Raw genomic sequence first — 15,948 nt, forward strand, 5'->3', positions numbered from 1 at the left:
TCTGAGGTTTTGAAACGTTCTCTTTTAGAGGAATGAGCTCTGCTCTTCACTGAGCCTCAAATGCAGTGCCGCTGGCAGTTTGTTTTCGAAGAAACTGAGTTGGCCGTCTTAGCTCTAATGCGCCACAGTGGAATGCATTAATGGCAGCTCACTTTGCACTTGGCTGGCAGCCCCAGGGTAAAAGGCTCAGCCTGTCTTCCCAGCTCAGGAACCAAACTAGGAGATGCCCTCTTGTGAGGCTGCCTACCCACAGAACCATTGGGCCCTTGAAGGTGGTGTGTCCCCAGCTGGTTTTCCGGCTGCGGCTCATCTTCATGGGCCGCAGTGTGGCCACCACACCCACCCCAACACTGCTGGCAGCATGGGGACAGCATGTAGTCTTCCCATCCCGACTCCAGAATAAATTCTGCTCTGCATTAAAGCAGTCAAATAATGGTTGCTGCATTGTGGTTGTTATCTATTCTAACTGATTTTCTTAAATTGCTTTTCCTGTATACACACATTCAGATCAAGCAACATTTGAAAGAGGCCAATTTTCAGGCCAGGCGCGGTAGCTCATGCCTGTAATCCCAGCACTTTGGGAGGCTAAGGTGGGTGGATCACCTGAGGTCAGAAGTTAGAAACCAGCCTGGCCAACATGGTGAGACCCCATCTCTACTGAAAAAACAAAATTAGCCGGGCGTGGTGGCACACGCCTGTAATCCCAGCTACTTGGGAGGCTGAGGCAGGAGAATCGCTTGAACCCGGGAGGCAGAGGTTGCAGTGAGCTGAGATCACGCCATTGCACTACAGCCTGGGCAACAAGAGCAAAAACTCCGTCTCAAAGAAAAAAAAAAAAAGCCATTTTTCAACCACAATCCACCATCAAGAACTTCCATTGTGCTGTGGTGTTCTCCCTAAGCAAACTTGTACTCATGCCTGTACATCTGAATCTGTCCTTCCTGTGTGTAAACTAACCAACTGTCGGATCATTTGGAATAAAACACTTATAGAGTATTCATTGCCTGGTGTGAATATTTTGGATATATGCTGAGAGCCACTCTGAGGTTTTCATTATTCCAGCTTTCGTTAGTGTAGAGTCTCACCAACCTTCTAACTCTGAAAGTAAAATGTCCAAAAAAGGGCACGTTATAAACTAATTCTCTCAAAATTTGATTTGTCCAATGTATGTACCTATTCAGAAACTTTAACTAACTGCATTGTATGACACTTTTGCAACCTGTGAAAATTAAGATCAGATAAAATACTGTTTGCTCTAAACTTCTCTTTTTTCTTTGTTTATTCCTTAAGCAAAGCAAAAGCTGGAAGATCGCCTCGCAGCTGCTGCCCGGGAAAAGCTGGCCCAGGCGTCTAAGGAGTCAAAAGAGAAACAGCTTCAAGCAGAACGTAAAAGGAAAGCGGCGTTATTTTTACAGACCCTCAAAAATCCTCTGCCGGAAGCAGAAGCTGGGAAAATTGAGGAGAGTCCTTTCAGTGTCGAGGTATAGTAAAATCCCACATTGGTATCTGCGGGGCTGTGTGATACATAGAGGCAGGGAGGATGTGTCTCCCTCCAGCTGCCCTAGTCTCTGGCCTGAGTGAGGGATATGAGCTCCCAGCTCTTCCTCCCGACATGGTTGAGTGGCTTTTACTCTATAGCAGTGAATCTAAGAGTTTGCCAGCAGTCTCCCCCGTCAGTGCACAGTCACGCCAGCAGCAAACACTGCCCGCGATTTCAGGGGAGCCTCTGCTTCACGGCTGCCCTTATGGGGCTGGCAGGAGGGCTTGGGGAGTGCCTCCCATGGGTCCTGCTGGGGAAATGTGGTGGACACACTTCACTGAAGCCCCGCCTCCGCAGCAGCACCAGTATTGCGCTCACACGTGGGGCAGAAATCCTTTTGCCACGGTCTGTATCAATGTCAGCACTTTAATTAAAGAGAAAAAGGAAGAGGGAGTTAAGAGAACAGACTCCAGGAGTACATGGCTCCTTCCTCAGTGGTGTGAGCAGGAATAGGGCCTTACATGGGGGTCATCACGTGGCTGCCTTACAAGTCTCCCTGCCAAGGAGGGGGTGCTCAGAACAGTGCCTCAGACCAGAGGCCTTCAGTAGACACTGGCTCCTGAGTGCCAAGGGGATTGCTCCCTTGTGTGTCCGAGACCAGAGGCCTTCAGTAGACACTGGCTCCTGTGCCAAGGGGATTGCTCCCATGCGTGTCCGAGACCAGAGGCCTTCAGTAGACACTGGCTCCTGTGCCAAGGGGATTGCTCCCATGCGTGTCCGAGACCAGAGGCCTTCAGTAGACACTGGCTCCTGTGCCAAGGGGATTGCTCCCATGCGTGTCCGAGACCAGAGGCCTTCAGTAGACACTGGCTCCTGTGCCAAGGGGATTGCTCCCATGCGTGTCCGAGACCAGAGGCCTTCAGGAAACACATGCCTTCCGCAGCAGCAGCACAGCAATTAATCATAATCAGCAAAAACTCTACTTTTTTTTTTGTCACATCAATTTAGAATCTTTTAAGTTTAATTTTAGATTCTTTATAGTAGTTATGTCTCTGAATTTTATTTTGTATTTAAACTACAAGAATATGCAGAAATTCTTTGGGGAGTTTAGGAGCATTTTGGAGACATAACTCTTAAAGTAAGAAAAATAATAGAGTAGGACACATCCTTTGAGGATTAAAGGAGGGTTGTCTTTGTATCAATAAACTGTGACAAAACTGGGCATTTTAGTAGCTAGTCCTGTAATTGTAGGTGAATTAAAAGCTGACAACATTTGAACTATAATATTAGAATGGGTTTACATCTACAATTAGACAATAGCTAAAAAGTTGTGGTTTTATGTTATTTCAAGAACACTTAAAAATCATTTTATAAAATCTTTCTCAACCTAATCTCTCTCTTTAAAAAAATGAATGAACACAGGAACAGAAAATCAGACACCACATGTTCTCGCTTATAAGTGGGAGCTAAACATTGAGCACACATGGACACAGAGAAGAGAACAGCAGACTCGAGGGCTTCATTGAGGGTGGAGGGAGGGAGGGAGGAGGGTGAAGATCAAAAACCTCCCTGTTAGCTACTATGCTCACTGCCTGGGTGATGAAAGAAATAAAAGTTGGAAAGAATAAAAAAGGTAGTAACTCCGGGAATTTTACTTTTTGAAAAGTTTCAAACCTTCAAAAAATTGGAAAGAATGGGAAGATGCCCCCAGCACCCCAGGCGATTGCATGCGCGTGCTCGCTCATCTATATGTGCGCACGTTGACCCACGCGTGCTCGCCCTCTCTGAGAGTCGTTGCATATGTGGTGACTGCTCTGCCCTGAATACTGCAGCTGCATTTCCCATGAAGGGCCTTCTCCTGGGAAACACAGCACTGCATGCAGATTGTCCACCGATGGTGTCCATCACTTCCTCTGCAGGCCGCAGCCACGTTGCTCCAAGTGGCCCCACGTGTCTTTTGTAGATCTTTTTTTCCCAAAGTACAGAATGAGCCTTTCACTTTAATTATATTGACGTTTCTAAGAGTCCAGGGCCATTATTGAAAACTGATTTTCTGCTTGAAGTCACTTCGCTTATTTTTCTGTGGAAAACAACATTCTAAGCTCAGACTTTTCAAATGATGCTGAAGGCTGAATCAGCTTTCTTGTTTTGGGAGTCAGTCTGAAATCCTCTCACATCTGGCAGGAGGCCTCAGAAATAATAACTGACGGGCAAGGAGGGGAGAATTAGAAGAGCAGAGAAGATGAGTTTGTGTGAGACCCTGTCGAGTCCCCGAGTGCCGCAGGGTGGGCTCCTGCCCTGAGTCCCGAGTGCTCTGGCCACCCGCTGTAGCCTCAGCTCCTCTGAGCCATTTGACATGCCAGCCCCAGAAACGAACATTTTCAGGCAAGGTGGGAACCCCCAGCAGCCCCCCGGGACGCCGTCTCACAGCCTTTCCACAGCTCTTCAGAGTCGGGGCTGCCTCCTGGCTCCTCACTTCAGCCAGTTATGGCCGAAGGATCTGTGGTCATTCCTTAGCTTTAATAGGATTTCTTGGCTGGACGTGGTGGCTCATACCTGTAATCCGAACACTTTGGGAGGCCAAGGCGGGTGGATCGCTTGAGGCCAGGAGTTCGAGATCAGTCTGGGGTCAACATGGTGAAACCTCGTCTCTACTAAAAATACAAAAAATTAGCCGAGCGTGGTGGAGCATGCCTGTAATCCCAGCTACTCGGGAGGCTGAGGCAGGAGAATCTCTTGAACCTGGCAGGCAGAGGTTGCAGTGAGCCAAGACTGCACCACTGTACTCCAGCCTGGGCGACAGAGCGAGACTCCTTCTCAAAAAAAAAAAGGATGTTCTGCAGCAATAAGGGGATGAAATACACAACAACAAAAATGATCATGAGGACGCTTGTAGCCACACAGAAAATGCTTCTGATGTAATAAGCAGGAGAAGCACAGTATAAAATATATCCACTTCTGTGGTTACAGCCATGAAAATATGCATGTAGCAAGGAGGGAAGGGAATTTAAGAAAGTAAGGGACCTGTTACAGTGGCGTACGGGTTCTCATGTTTTGATATCGTTTGTGCAGCGGGTAAAGGGGTTAATTGAAAGACATTCACAGGAATGCTTTAACCAGTTACATTACATGACTATACGTGTATGTCGTCATAAAATTTCCAGTGAAACTCAGTCACAAGTATAATTTATCACTAGCCCAGTTTTTCCCAATCTGCTGTAGTTCCGCATCACAGCAACCAGAATTATTTCCTTATAAACATAAGATATGTTACAGCTTAGGTCTGTGTCCTATTTATTTATTTTATTTTATTTATTTATTTATTTGTTTGTTTTTTGAGACAGAGTCTTGCTCTCTCGCCCAGGCTGGAGTGCAGTGGCGCAGTCTTGGCTCACTGCAACCTCCGCCTCCCGGGTTCACACCATTCTCCTGCCTCAGCCTCCCGAGTAGCTGGGACTACAGGCACCCGCCACCACGCCCGGCTAATTTTTTTGTATTTTTAGTAGAGACGGGGTTTCACCATGTTAGCCAAGATGGTCTCAATCTGTCCTATTTATTTTTACACGTACCCTCTCACCTCTCCTGTTTGCAGGCATTGGTTTTTGAATCTGTAGAACATAGAAATGAGCGTTTAAATCACTAGGATGCTCTCCCTGGATATATGTGTGTGTCTGTGTATGCAGATTACAGCTACCAAGCCATTTCAACAAAAATGTAATGGTTGTAGCAGATGATGATAAATGTCTTTAATTGCTTCTGAAACAAAAATACTTGTAATTAAATTGGCAATTGCCATAAAGAAAATTCAAACTCGAAAATATTTTTAGCCTAAAACAACTTCTGGGACAGGTTACCCTTGACTTTACTAAGTATTCTAGCATCTGCTTTACTCGCTGATGTTGAGACATTTGACCCAGCTATGTAGTTGTGAAATTCTCGGAGTCCAGGAGGACTTGAGACAAGACCACATTCGGCCACCGCACGCCCTGGGTGAGGAAGCCTGCGTGGCTGAGGGCACGTCGGCACCAGGAGGCTCATGGCACCCCCAGGTCTGTCGGGGCCGTGGCTAGCTCGGGCTGGCTCTGCAGGGTGGCATGAGGACACTCCCTTACACAAGGCCTGGCATAACATGGCAGGAATTTTGCTGTCACCTTAAAGTTAACTGAAAACAGCCACAGTGCAGCTTATGTGCCTGAAGGACAGTCACTTCTCTGTCTTTACTTTCTATAAAACTGATGTATACATATGATTTTTAAAGTTCCAATGCTAGAGAAAGGTATAAAACAAAGAGGAGAGGTCCTTTCTTTCTTGTGTATTTTTTTAATTCCTGTGGAAATGGCACTTTTTAAAATTCCTCCAATTCTCTCCCTTCTGTAGAGTTTGAGTTTTTAACATAAAGGTTACCATTTTACCGTTTTTAACTGTGCAGTTTATGCTGGCATTAAGTATATTCACACTGTGCAACTATTACCACCCAACCGTTCCCAGGATGTCCATCTTCTAAAACCAAAACTCTGTAGCCATTAAATAGTAACTCTCTGCCCTCCCCTCCCCCAGCCCTGGCACCCACCTGCTTGCAGCCTCTGTGAACGGGACTCCTGGGGACCGCATGTGTGTGGGATTCTGCAGTGTCTGTGCTTCTGTGCCTGGCTGACTTCACCTAGCGTGGTATCCTCTGGGTCCAGCCATGCAGCAGCCGCATTGGACCCCCTTCCTTTTTACAGTTGAATGGTGCTCGGTCGTGTGCATCTACCCCGTTTGTTTCCGAACACTTTGGGAGGCCAAGTGAATCCTTGAGGGGAAAAACTCAATTCGATTCATGTATGTGGAGGTGTAAAACCTCATAGGGGATCATACCCTACATATTTTTCTGACAACTTTTTTCACTTACAGTAGAGATCCTTCTGTTATCAATGCTTACAGTAGTGTTTGGTGTGTTACAGGCACTCGGTAGGTATTTAGTGACCGAATGACTTTAAGTAGTTTACCTGTAAATCACCCCCTCTGTGTGTGCCCCTCCCCTGCTGTGGGAAATGTGAGCTGTGGGTCTGTCTTTGTGAACGATGCCGCTTTCACCCAATCTGTGTCCTGTGTCTTGTGTACTCCAGTGAGTGCACCCACGGGGGAAATCCTCACCATGGAATTCCTTTTTTAATTTGAGATACTGCTCAGTTGACCTCTGAAGGGACCGTAGCAGTTTTATTTGCCCCCGTAGGGTGTGCGAACTATTTCTTCATGTCCCTGTCGGCATTGGTTACCATCAGCCTTTCGGTGGGAAAGCAGCATCTGCTTTAACTTACATATTTAATGGTAAGTAACACTGAGTCATTTTGCTAATGTCTCTTTTTTTTTTTTTTTTTTTTTTGAGACGGAGTCTCGCTCTGTCTCCAGGCTGGAGTGCAGTAGCGCGATCTCGGCTCAATTGGCTCACTGCAACCTCTGCCTCCCGGGTTCAAGTGATTCTCCTGCCTCAGCCTCCCAAGTAGCTGGGACTATAGGCGGGCGCCACCACGCCCAGGTAATTTTTGTATTTTTAGTAGAGACAGGGTTTCACCATGTTGGCCAGGATGGTCTCAATCTCTTGACCTCGTGATCAGCCCGCCTCAGCCTCTCAAAGTGCTGGGATTACAAGCCTGAGCCACCGCTCCCGGCCACTTTGCTAATGTTTCTTGGCATTGTCTGCTGCCTTTTGAACTGGCTTTCCCTTAGCCTGGGCCCATGTTTCTTCGACCTAGGAAGGGCCCTTTCTTTGTCTTATGCTGCGTCATGTTAGCTGTTTGTCATCAGTGTCACAAACATTTTTTCCCCGGTACATTTCTGACCTGCCATACTTGGAATTTATTTGAGTTTGAGGAGCACGTCACTATCGATGCAACGCATTCACTAAGTCATACATCTTTTCCCCAGTGACTCACAGAGCCTTCTTTACAACGTGCTGAATTCCCATTTGTACTCGATCTTTCTGCATCCATGTTCCTGTTCAGTCCCGTTGATCGTTAGGAAAGGTGATTTTACATATTCAGGTACAGTTGTAAATGATGTCCTAAAGTGTGCCTATTGGCATGGAAAGATATTGGCAGCACTCTAAATTTTTCAAGTGGCATATAAAATATATAAAAGCATATGCAAAAATCATGCATATAAACCTGCATAGGAGACTGGAGAGTTCCCTTGACCCTTCTCAGGACTGGCACAGGGGGTGGCTCGTTTTCTCGGCTGCCACTCAATCCCTTACGGGAGGGACCACACGAACGGACAGGTGCGGGAACCAGAGCAAAGGAACTCTCCTCTCTGGCGGGAGCAGGCTCTGCGCTGGCCTCACGGCAGCCTCCAAGCATATTACAATGCTCTTTTAGCTCTGCCATCTGGGAGTGGGTGTCTGTGACCCCTGGAGCCTCAGAAAGCCTGTGTTACAATCAGTGTTGAGTGTTAATCAGCTCAGTGGAGGGTCAGGGTGACAGCCTTTACACCCTGCCCTCTTGGTACCTGAGTTCTTGTCCGGCGTCCAGCAAGAATCAGGTCACACGAACGAATTAAAGGGTGGTGAATATGGAGGACTTTATTGAGCTGTGGAAGTGGCTCTCAGCAGAAAGGGAAGCTGACAAGGGGGTACAGCAGGAAGATAATTTTCCCCTGGAGTCTGGCCATCCCTCAGCCAAACTCCTCTCCAACATCCAGCTGCTTCCTCTCCTCTCTTTGCTCAGATGCTTTCTCTTCTGTGTGTGTCCCCTTTGTCTGGAGTCTGGGGTTCTTATGGGCACAGGATAGGGGGCAGAGCAGGCCAAAAGGCAACATTCAGGTGGGAAAACAGGGATAGTTGTCACTTTGGGCCACGGGTCCAGGCTTGAGTGTGAAGCCCTCACCAGTATTTCCCTGCCTCCTGCCTGTATCACATACATTCTCTCTTCATTCCTAGTGTGTGTTCGTAATCCAGGATGAAGAGAAGGGAGAAGTCTTCATTGAACCCCTTTTTTCATGCGGTCATTTACATAGTAGCAACAGACTGCAGGATGATTTCTTAGATTCCACAAATTTTTTTTCTTTTTCTTTTTGAGAGAGTCTCACTCTGTCGCCCGAGCTAGAATGCAGTGGTACCATCACAGCTCACTGCAGCCTTGACCTCCCGGCCTGAAGCACTCCTCCTACCTCAGCCTCCAAAGTAGCTAGGACTTACATGCACTTGCCACCATGCCCAGCTAAATTTTTTTGTATTTTTGGTAGAGATGGGATTTTGCTATATTGCCCAGACTGGTCTTGAACTCCTGGCCTCAAGCAGTTCTCCCGCCTTGGCCTCTCAAGATGCTAGGATGACAGGCATGAGCCACTGCACCCAGCCCACAAATGTTTTCAAGTTACTGATCTGCCAAGTTTACAATTCCAGTAAGAGTTTGAAAAGGAAATAGGAACTGAAACCTGCCTGTGTTTGCTGAATCTCTGCTGTGTGCTAGGTGCTGAGGTGCTTTGGGATATGCATTAGAAGCTTGCTTGTTAACCAGTGACCATGACTGCATTTGAGCTGTTGCTGTTCACACATGGGCATTTCCATCAGGACAGCACAGCCAGGAGGAGAGTGGCGGCTCCGGGACCTGGGGCTCAGGCGAGGCCTTGAGGAGCTTACCAGAATAGTGAGGGCCCACGAGGGCCAAAGACCCACAAGTGGTAAAGGACAGGTGGCCCCACTCAGGAAGACACTTTCTCAGGCAGAACCGGAATGACAATGGGAGGCCAGTTGTGGAGAGCCTGGGACGCCAGAATAAGTGAGCACGAGAGACCGACAGGATGAGAGCCGCATTTCCGCTGAGACAGTGTGGCTGCGGGGCACGGGGCGCTGGAGCAGAGTGGAGGCAGGGGTGGGAGGATGCACCTGGGCAGGACGTGGTAGGGCAGTGGGGCTGGGTGAAGGGATGGAGAGCAACGCCGCAGTGTTGGTTATCCCTTTCATAGTTAATGTAGTGTCCTTCACAAATAAGATTTCTTTTATTTTCAAATACAATCAGATACAAAGTCAGTCTGCTTTTGAGCGGTTTGTTTTGCCACAGTAGGAAATAATCGTTGCTGGTTCATGTGCTAATTTTGTTGCCAAATACTTCATCGTGACACAGGGGGACTAATCAATGTTAATTTCCAGTGTTACAGAAGTGGCCGGCGGTAAGCTGTTAATGCTCTCATAAATGACCATTTTTCAGAAGTTATTTGCTTTGTCCCGGACTCTACCTAAACCAATGTACGTCTGCCCCCCTACATTCAAACATGACTTCCGTTTTGATCATTTTTGCTGGAATATTAAAAATGCATCTCAAAGGCAGCTGTGGTTTCTGGGAAGCTGTGTTTGGCATCAGTCCTTGTTCACTTTTAGCACTTGAAGCTGAAAAAAGCAGTAATGTCAACATAATGAACCATCTTAATTCAGCCTGGCAGAGGTCACAACAGCTCTAGTTTTCACCTTCATGGTGAAGGATGATCGTGTTGTTGGAATAAATAGACCTGGACTTGATTACAAGTGACATTTGAAAGTGTTGATTCAGATTGTCCCGTCGCTTCAAAATGGAGCCCTAGTCTTTAAGCACAGTGGTGAGATAAGTATTATTAATGACAGGCATTAGTTAGGATAAAGGCAAAAAAAAAAGTTTGGAGGCTCAAATCATTAAGTTGGCAGTAGAAATATGAATAGAAACTCAGCTGGAGAGTTGACTCCTCGCACTCCTGTTTGTCTTGACTGTGCCTCAGATGGCGTCTCGCGCCCGTTTGGTTTTGTCTTTCACAGACGTTTGCCAGGGACCATGTTTTTCCATCTCCCCTCTGTTTTAACACAGCGCCTTACCAATCACACACCAAATTAGTGCAGTGATTTTGTGAGCGTGGAGAGAGTAAATGAGGAGAGTTCTTCACCAGAAAAAGACAGCAAAGACGTGTTTCTCTTCCTTCTCGTCACAGAACAAACTCCTTACTCGAGGGTGGAGTATGTGTCTCAGCTCTCCTTCTCTTCAGCTCTCTCTTTGTTTTCCTGGGGAAATCCCGGGCCTTGTTGAAAGGACCTGCAGCAGCTCTGACTTCCCGAACACTCACAGGTGCCCGTGTTGAGGTTCCCAATGGCGTCTTTCAGCCCCTGGGCCGGCTTGCTTTCTGCGCAGCGTGTGCTCCTGATGTAGAGGCCGTGGATACTGGCATTTTTTTAGTGCATCAGCTGATTTCTCTGGTGTCCACCCAGGGCTCGCCTCAGAGGATGTGCTCAGCTCGCAAACCTGTGTTCTTTGCTCTTTGCAGAATGGAAGCCCTCTCCCTTTCGGTGTGTATGGGAGAGGCCATAGCTAGGATGTTGAGCCTCTGAAGTTGTAAAGCTTACTACCTTTTTATTTATTGTATGTTTAATTTAAAGGATCATTTAGCATTGCTTGTGGGCAAATCCTGACTAATGCCAGAGTGGGGGTGTTCTTGGATATAGAGCTTGCTTTGTCATTGGACGTTTGTGTGTTAGAATTATGTAAGCAATAAAATATTTTAGCTGGGCACGGTGGTTCACGCCCGTAATCTCAGCACTTTGGGATGCTGAGGTGTGCAGTTCACTTGAGGCCAGGAGTTTGAGACCAGCCTGGCCAAAATAGCAAAACCCTTTCTCTACTAAAAATACAAAAAAAAAAAAAAAAATTAGCTGAGCATGATGGCACATGCCTGTAATCCCAGCTACTCAGGAGGCTGAGGCACAAGAATCACTTGAGGCCGGAAGGCGGAGGTTGCGGTGAGCTGAGATCACGCCACTGCACTCCACCCCGGCAACAGAGCAAGACTCTGCCTCAAAACAAACAAAAATAATAAAATATTTAAAAGTTTGACCTGAAAAATATTGTTACACTTAACAGAATTTTAAATGAGAAAGACCTTTTTGATAAGAACTGTCCCACAGTAAAGTGGATTTTTTTGCCAAAATGTCCCTGGAGATAATTTAGGCAGAGACTTAAAGATGAACCTCATAGCGGCCATCAGATCCCAAGGAGGAATTCATCCCTGCCCTCTTGCCCGCCGCACACCCACAACCAGGGAGGGGCATTAGAGAGCACAGTGTAAACGGAAACAGCAAGGAGGCTGAACAGAGGGCTGAGAAATCACCGTGCCATCATAAAGCAGCCAGCTCAAGTGGAAACTCATCTTAAATTGGGGCCTGCCCCACCAGGGCTCTGCTGAATTGCTTTTGATCTCAAAGCCAAAGCAAGAAGCATAACTGTAGAAGAATCGTTTCTACAGTGTTTTCCCGCAGCCAGTTGGCCTTGCCACAGCGGACCTAAGGAGAGGAAAGAAGGGAGGGAAGCCCCCTTACCACTTTGCCTTTCACAGATGCCGTCCTGCGCACACTGCCGCGGGCTGGGCTGGAGCTCTCCCCGGGGAGCAGCTGGGGGCAGCCTGGGAGACTGGGTCCCACCCCAGCACCTAACCTGAATTTCTTCGAGGCACAAAGGATAAATTGCAGATTTTTCACTGTGTCTAAAGGTGTGAAATGTTTAACAGCTATAATTTAAAATTCACTTGAAGTGAGGAGAGAGTGAGCTTTCTGGGTAAAGAGGGGCAGGCTGCAGGCCTATGCTGTTGAAGGGTGCTGTCTCCTGATCTGGTTCCGATGCGCTGTGGTGGAAATGTGTCAGCATGCATTGAAGATTCATATGCTCTTCTGTATGTATGTAACACTCAGATGGAGAGGTTTTAAAACATCAAAGGGGAGCCTAGACCTTCTTTAAAAATTATTGTCAGAGTAGTGCCGATACTCATTTAAAAACCTAACATCGGAGGTTTGAGGAATCTCTCCTCTGGTAGTTAAAACTGTTTTTTTTGTTTTTCCTTAAGAACTATTTTTTTTTATTATACTTTAAGTTTTAGGGTACATGTGCACAACGTGCAGGTTAGTTACATATGTATACATGTGCCATGTTGGTGTGCTGCACCCATTAACTCATCATTTAACGTTAGGTATATCTCCTAATGCTATCCCTCCCCGCTCACCCCACCCCACAACAGGCCCCGGTGTGTGATGTTCCCCTTCCTGTGACCATGTGTTCTCGTTGTTCAGTTCCCACCTATGAGTGAGAACATGCGGTGTTTGGTTTTTTGTCCTTGGTGATAGTTTGCTGAGAATGATGGTTTCCAGCTTCATCCATGTCCCTACAAAGGACATGAACTCATCATTTTTTATGGCTGCATAGTATTCCATGGTGTATATGTGCCGCATTTTCTTAATCCAGTCTATCATTGTTGGACGTTTGCGTTGGTTCGAAATCTTTGCTATTGTGAAGAGTGCCACAATAAACATACGTGTGCATGTGTCTTTATAGCAGCATGATTTACAATCCTTTGGGTATATACCCAGTAATGGGATGGCTGGGTCAAATGGTATTTCTGGTTCTAGATCCCTGAGGAATGGCCACACTGACTTCCACAATGGGTGAACTAAAAAGGAACGTATTTTTTCCCAGCGTAGCATCTCTAATACTCTAATACTGTGCTCCTCTTGTTGGCTCCGGCTGTCCACAGCCTGGGGGCTGGGAAGAGAGTGCTGCCTGTGGAAATGCTCGGGAACCAGAGGGTTCACTTTCTCCTTTTGCATCCTGGGAGGTGACAAGGAGGTCACTCTGGATAGCCACAGGAGGAGACTTTCTAAGAGATGGTTGCTGTGTTTGTTGGTGTGAGGGGCCCAAAGTTGAAATTTTATAGATATACATCTTCAATGTTCTGTTTTCCCTGTTAACACCCAGATTTTCCTTTTATTCTTAGGAATCCAGCACTACGCCCTGCCCTCTACTGACTGGAGGCAGGCCTCTGCCTACTTTAGAAGTTAAACCACCCGATAGGCCTTCGAGCAAAAGCAAAGATCCACCGAGAGAAGAAGAGAAAGAAAAGAAAAAGAAAAAGCACAAAAAAAGATCTCGAACAAGATCACGTTCTCCCAAGTACCATTCGTCATCCAAGTCCAGGTCTAGATCACACTCAAAAGCAAAGCATTCTCTTCCCAGTGCCTATCGGACAGTGCGGCGGTCGAGGTGGGTGTGAAGGGGGCAGCACCTCTGGTACCCTCATGACCCCCATGTCCTTCACAGGACACCCAGTAGAGCTAGGTAGAACGTTTAAAATCAGTGCCGCTTTCATTAAGCAGACGCGTGTATGCATGTGCATGTGTGCCCTGCAAGTCCAAGTAAGATCTTTTTCAGATTTTTGTTTGTTTTATACTTAACTTTTTCTTTTTTGAGACAGAGTTTTGTTCTTGTTGCCCAGGCTAGAGTGCAGTGGTGCGATCTTGGCTCACTGCAACCTCCGCTTCCCAGGTTCAAGTGATTCTCCTGCCTCAGCCTCCTGAGTAGCTGGGATTACAGGTGCCCACCACCACGCCTGGCTAATTTTTGTATTTTTAGTAGAGACGGGGTTTCACCGTGTCGGCCAGGCTGGTCTTAAACTCCTGACCTCAGGTAATCCACCCACCTTGGCCTCCCAGAGTGCTGGGATTACAGGCCTAAGCCACCGCGCAGGCCTATACTTAACTTTTCAAAGTTCATAAACTACTGCCAGGTTTTTAAAAATTGGTTTGTTTAAATTCTAATGGTTCCTGGAAGCAAGCCTACCACATTTGCCGATTGTGTGAAAGATTCACAGGGTGGTGTGCTGGGGGTCTTTTGTTTTATTTGTATAAGTGAAGTTTCCCATGCTAATTTGTCTCAAATGTGTAAAGTTGCAAGACAGGAGAACTCTTTAGCACTGGTTCTGGGTTTGGATTCTCTGCTCTGCACACGCACTCACCGGCACCGCACTCTGCACATACACTCACCGGTGCCACACTCTGCACACACTTCGTGTGGCACCGGTGAGCGTGTGTGCAGAGATGCAGCGACGGTGAGTGTGTGTGAAGAGGGCAGCGCGGATGAGTGTGTGTGAAGAGGGCGGCGCGGGTGAGCGTGTGTGAAGAGGGCGGCGCGGGTGAGTGTGTGTGAAGAGGGCGGCGCGGGTGGGTGTGTGTGAAGAGGGCGGCGCTGGTGCAGAATGTTTCCTCTCCACCCTCCCTCCAGGAGTCACTATTAAACCAAAGGCCTTCTTGATGAGGAGCCAGTTTTTCAGAAAGCAGGTTAACATTTCTGGCAGCAGAAATTAAAAATGTAAAAACATTTAAGAGTCACAGAATTTACATCTTGGTGAAAACCACTTTTTAAAAACAAAACAGTGGCTGACCTACAGGAGGTTGGCACAGCTTGCCCTGTTTTCAGAACCCCGTTACACCTTGGGTTCGCTGCTGAACACTGGCTGACTCTCCTCGGTTTCTCTAACGCCGCACTGACTGTGCTCATCTAGTTTTTCTTCTGGAATTGGTGTTAGCTCTTATGTTTCTGTGGGAAAAATACACATGCCTTGGGAGCTTTACGGGCTTTTTAAGTGTAATTTTACACATTTGCCTCTCTGAATATATCCTAAAAACAATATGCTTGCTTTCTTTACTTATTTATTTATTTATTCATTTATTTATTTAGAGACGGAGTTTTTGCTCTTGTTTCCCAGGTGGGAGTGCAATGGCACGATCTTGGCTCACTGCAACCTCTGCCTCCCAGGTTCAAGTGATTCTTCTGCCTCAGCCTCCCAAGTAGCTGGGATTACAGGCATGTGCCACCACGCCCAGCTAATTTTGTTTTTTTAGTAGAGATTGGGTTTCACCATGTTGGCCAGGCTGGTCTCGAACTCCTGACCTCAGGTGACCCACCCACCTCAGCCTCCCACAGTGCTGGGGTTACAGGCGTGAGCCACTGTGCCCAGCCTGCTTTCCTTATTTTTACCCTGGCCAACACTTAAAGTTTGACAAGCATTTACACTCCTCTGCAGTGAAATTGGATTTGACTCCATGATAAATCAATTTGATCTTTCACTCTACATTTTTGCGAGTGTTTTAAACGTTTCATCACTTCATACCCTTATACACGCAAAAAAGAAACCTTGCTATTTTCTAATCAAATGAACAGTTTTGCTAATATATCTTCAATTTTTGAAGGCTCCCAGGAACTTGTATTGTATATCGAAGCTTTTTAAAAATTTCTCATTTGAGGCCAGGCACAATGGCTCACACCTGAAATTCCAGTGCTTTGGGAAGCCAAGATGAGAGGATCACTTTGAGGCCTGGAGTTCAAGACTAGCTTTGGCAACATAGTGAAAACCTATCTCTACAAAATATTTTTTTTTAATTAGCCAGGCATGGCAGTGGATGCTTTGAACTCCTGAGCTCAAGCGTAGAGTCTGAGGTGGAAGGATTGCTTGAGCTGAGCTCAGGAGTTTGAGGCTGCAGTGAGCTATGATCACGCCACTGCACTCCAGCCTGGGTGACAGAGCGAGACCTTGCCTCTAAATGCAATTAAATGATTAAAATAAAAAATTTCCCACTTGAATATGTTTCTTACGACATTACATAGCTGAAGATAGGCATAAACAAGCCCTCCTAGTAACCACATTCAGTA

The 15,948-nt window shown here is 46.7% G+C and overlaps 1 protein-coding gene across 8 annotated transcripts in view, besides 3 other annotated features; it reads left to right on the forward strand.

Annotated features, from left to right (window-relative positions):
- SFSWAP (splicing factor SWAP) overlaps positions 1-15,948 on the forward strand; it is an 88,649-nt gene that overhangs the window by 53,738 nt on the left and 18,963 nt on the right. For all 8 annotated transcript variants that reach the window (XM_024449125.1, XM_047429327.1, XM_047429328.1 and 5 more), the window contains 2 exons: positions 1,291-1,481; positions 13,238-13,503. In XM_024449125.1, the coding sequence (XP_024304893.1) occupies positions 1,291-1,481; positions 13,238-13,503 (457 nt within the window). The remainder of the gene's footprint in view (positions 1-1,290; positions 1,482-13,237; positions 13,504-15,948) is intronic.
- Positions 8,609-9,234: an enhancer, noted in NCBI's record as "NANOG-H3K27ac-H3K4me1 hESC enhancer chr12:132257981-132258606 (GRCh37/hg19 assembly coordinates)". NCBI's record gives its function as "activates a minimal SCP1, AML or CMV promoter by ChIP-STARR-seq in primed H9 embryonic stem cells {active_cell/tissue: H9 hESC(primed)}" and the evidence as "EXISTENCE:reporter gene assay evidence [ECO:0000049][PMID:30033119]".
- Positions 8,966-9,155: an enhancer, noted in NCBI's record as "active region_7370". NCBI's record gives its function as "activates an Ori minimal core promoter by ATAC-STARR-seq in GM12878 lymphoblastoid cells {active_cell/tissue: GM12878}" and the evidence as "EXISTENCE:reporter gene assay evidence [ECO:0000049][PMID:35858748]".
- Positions 9,235-9,859: an enhancer, noted in NCBI's record as "OCT4-NANOG-H3K27ac-H3K4me1 hESC enhancer chr12:132258607-132259231 (GRCh37/hg19 assembly coordinates)". NCBI's record gives its function as "activates a minimal SCP1, AML or CMV promoter by ChIP-STARR-seq in primed H9 embryonic stem cells {active_cell/tissue: H9 hESC(primed)}" and the evidence as "EXISTENCE:reporter gene assay evidence [ECO:0000049][PMID:30033119]".

Source organism: Homo sapiens, chromosome 12, assembly GCF_000001405.40.
Source record: "Homo sapiens chromosome 12, GRCh38.p14 Primary Assembly".
In the NCBI taxonomy this organism is placed as follows: Eukaryota; Metazoa; Chordata; class Mammalia; order Primates; family Hominidae; genus Homo; species Homo sapiens.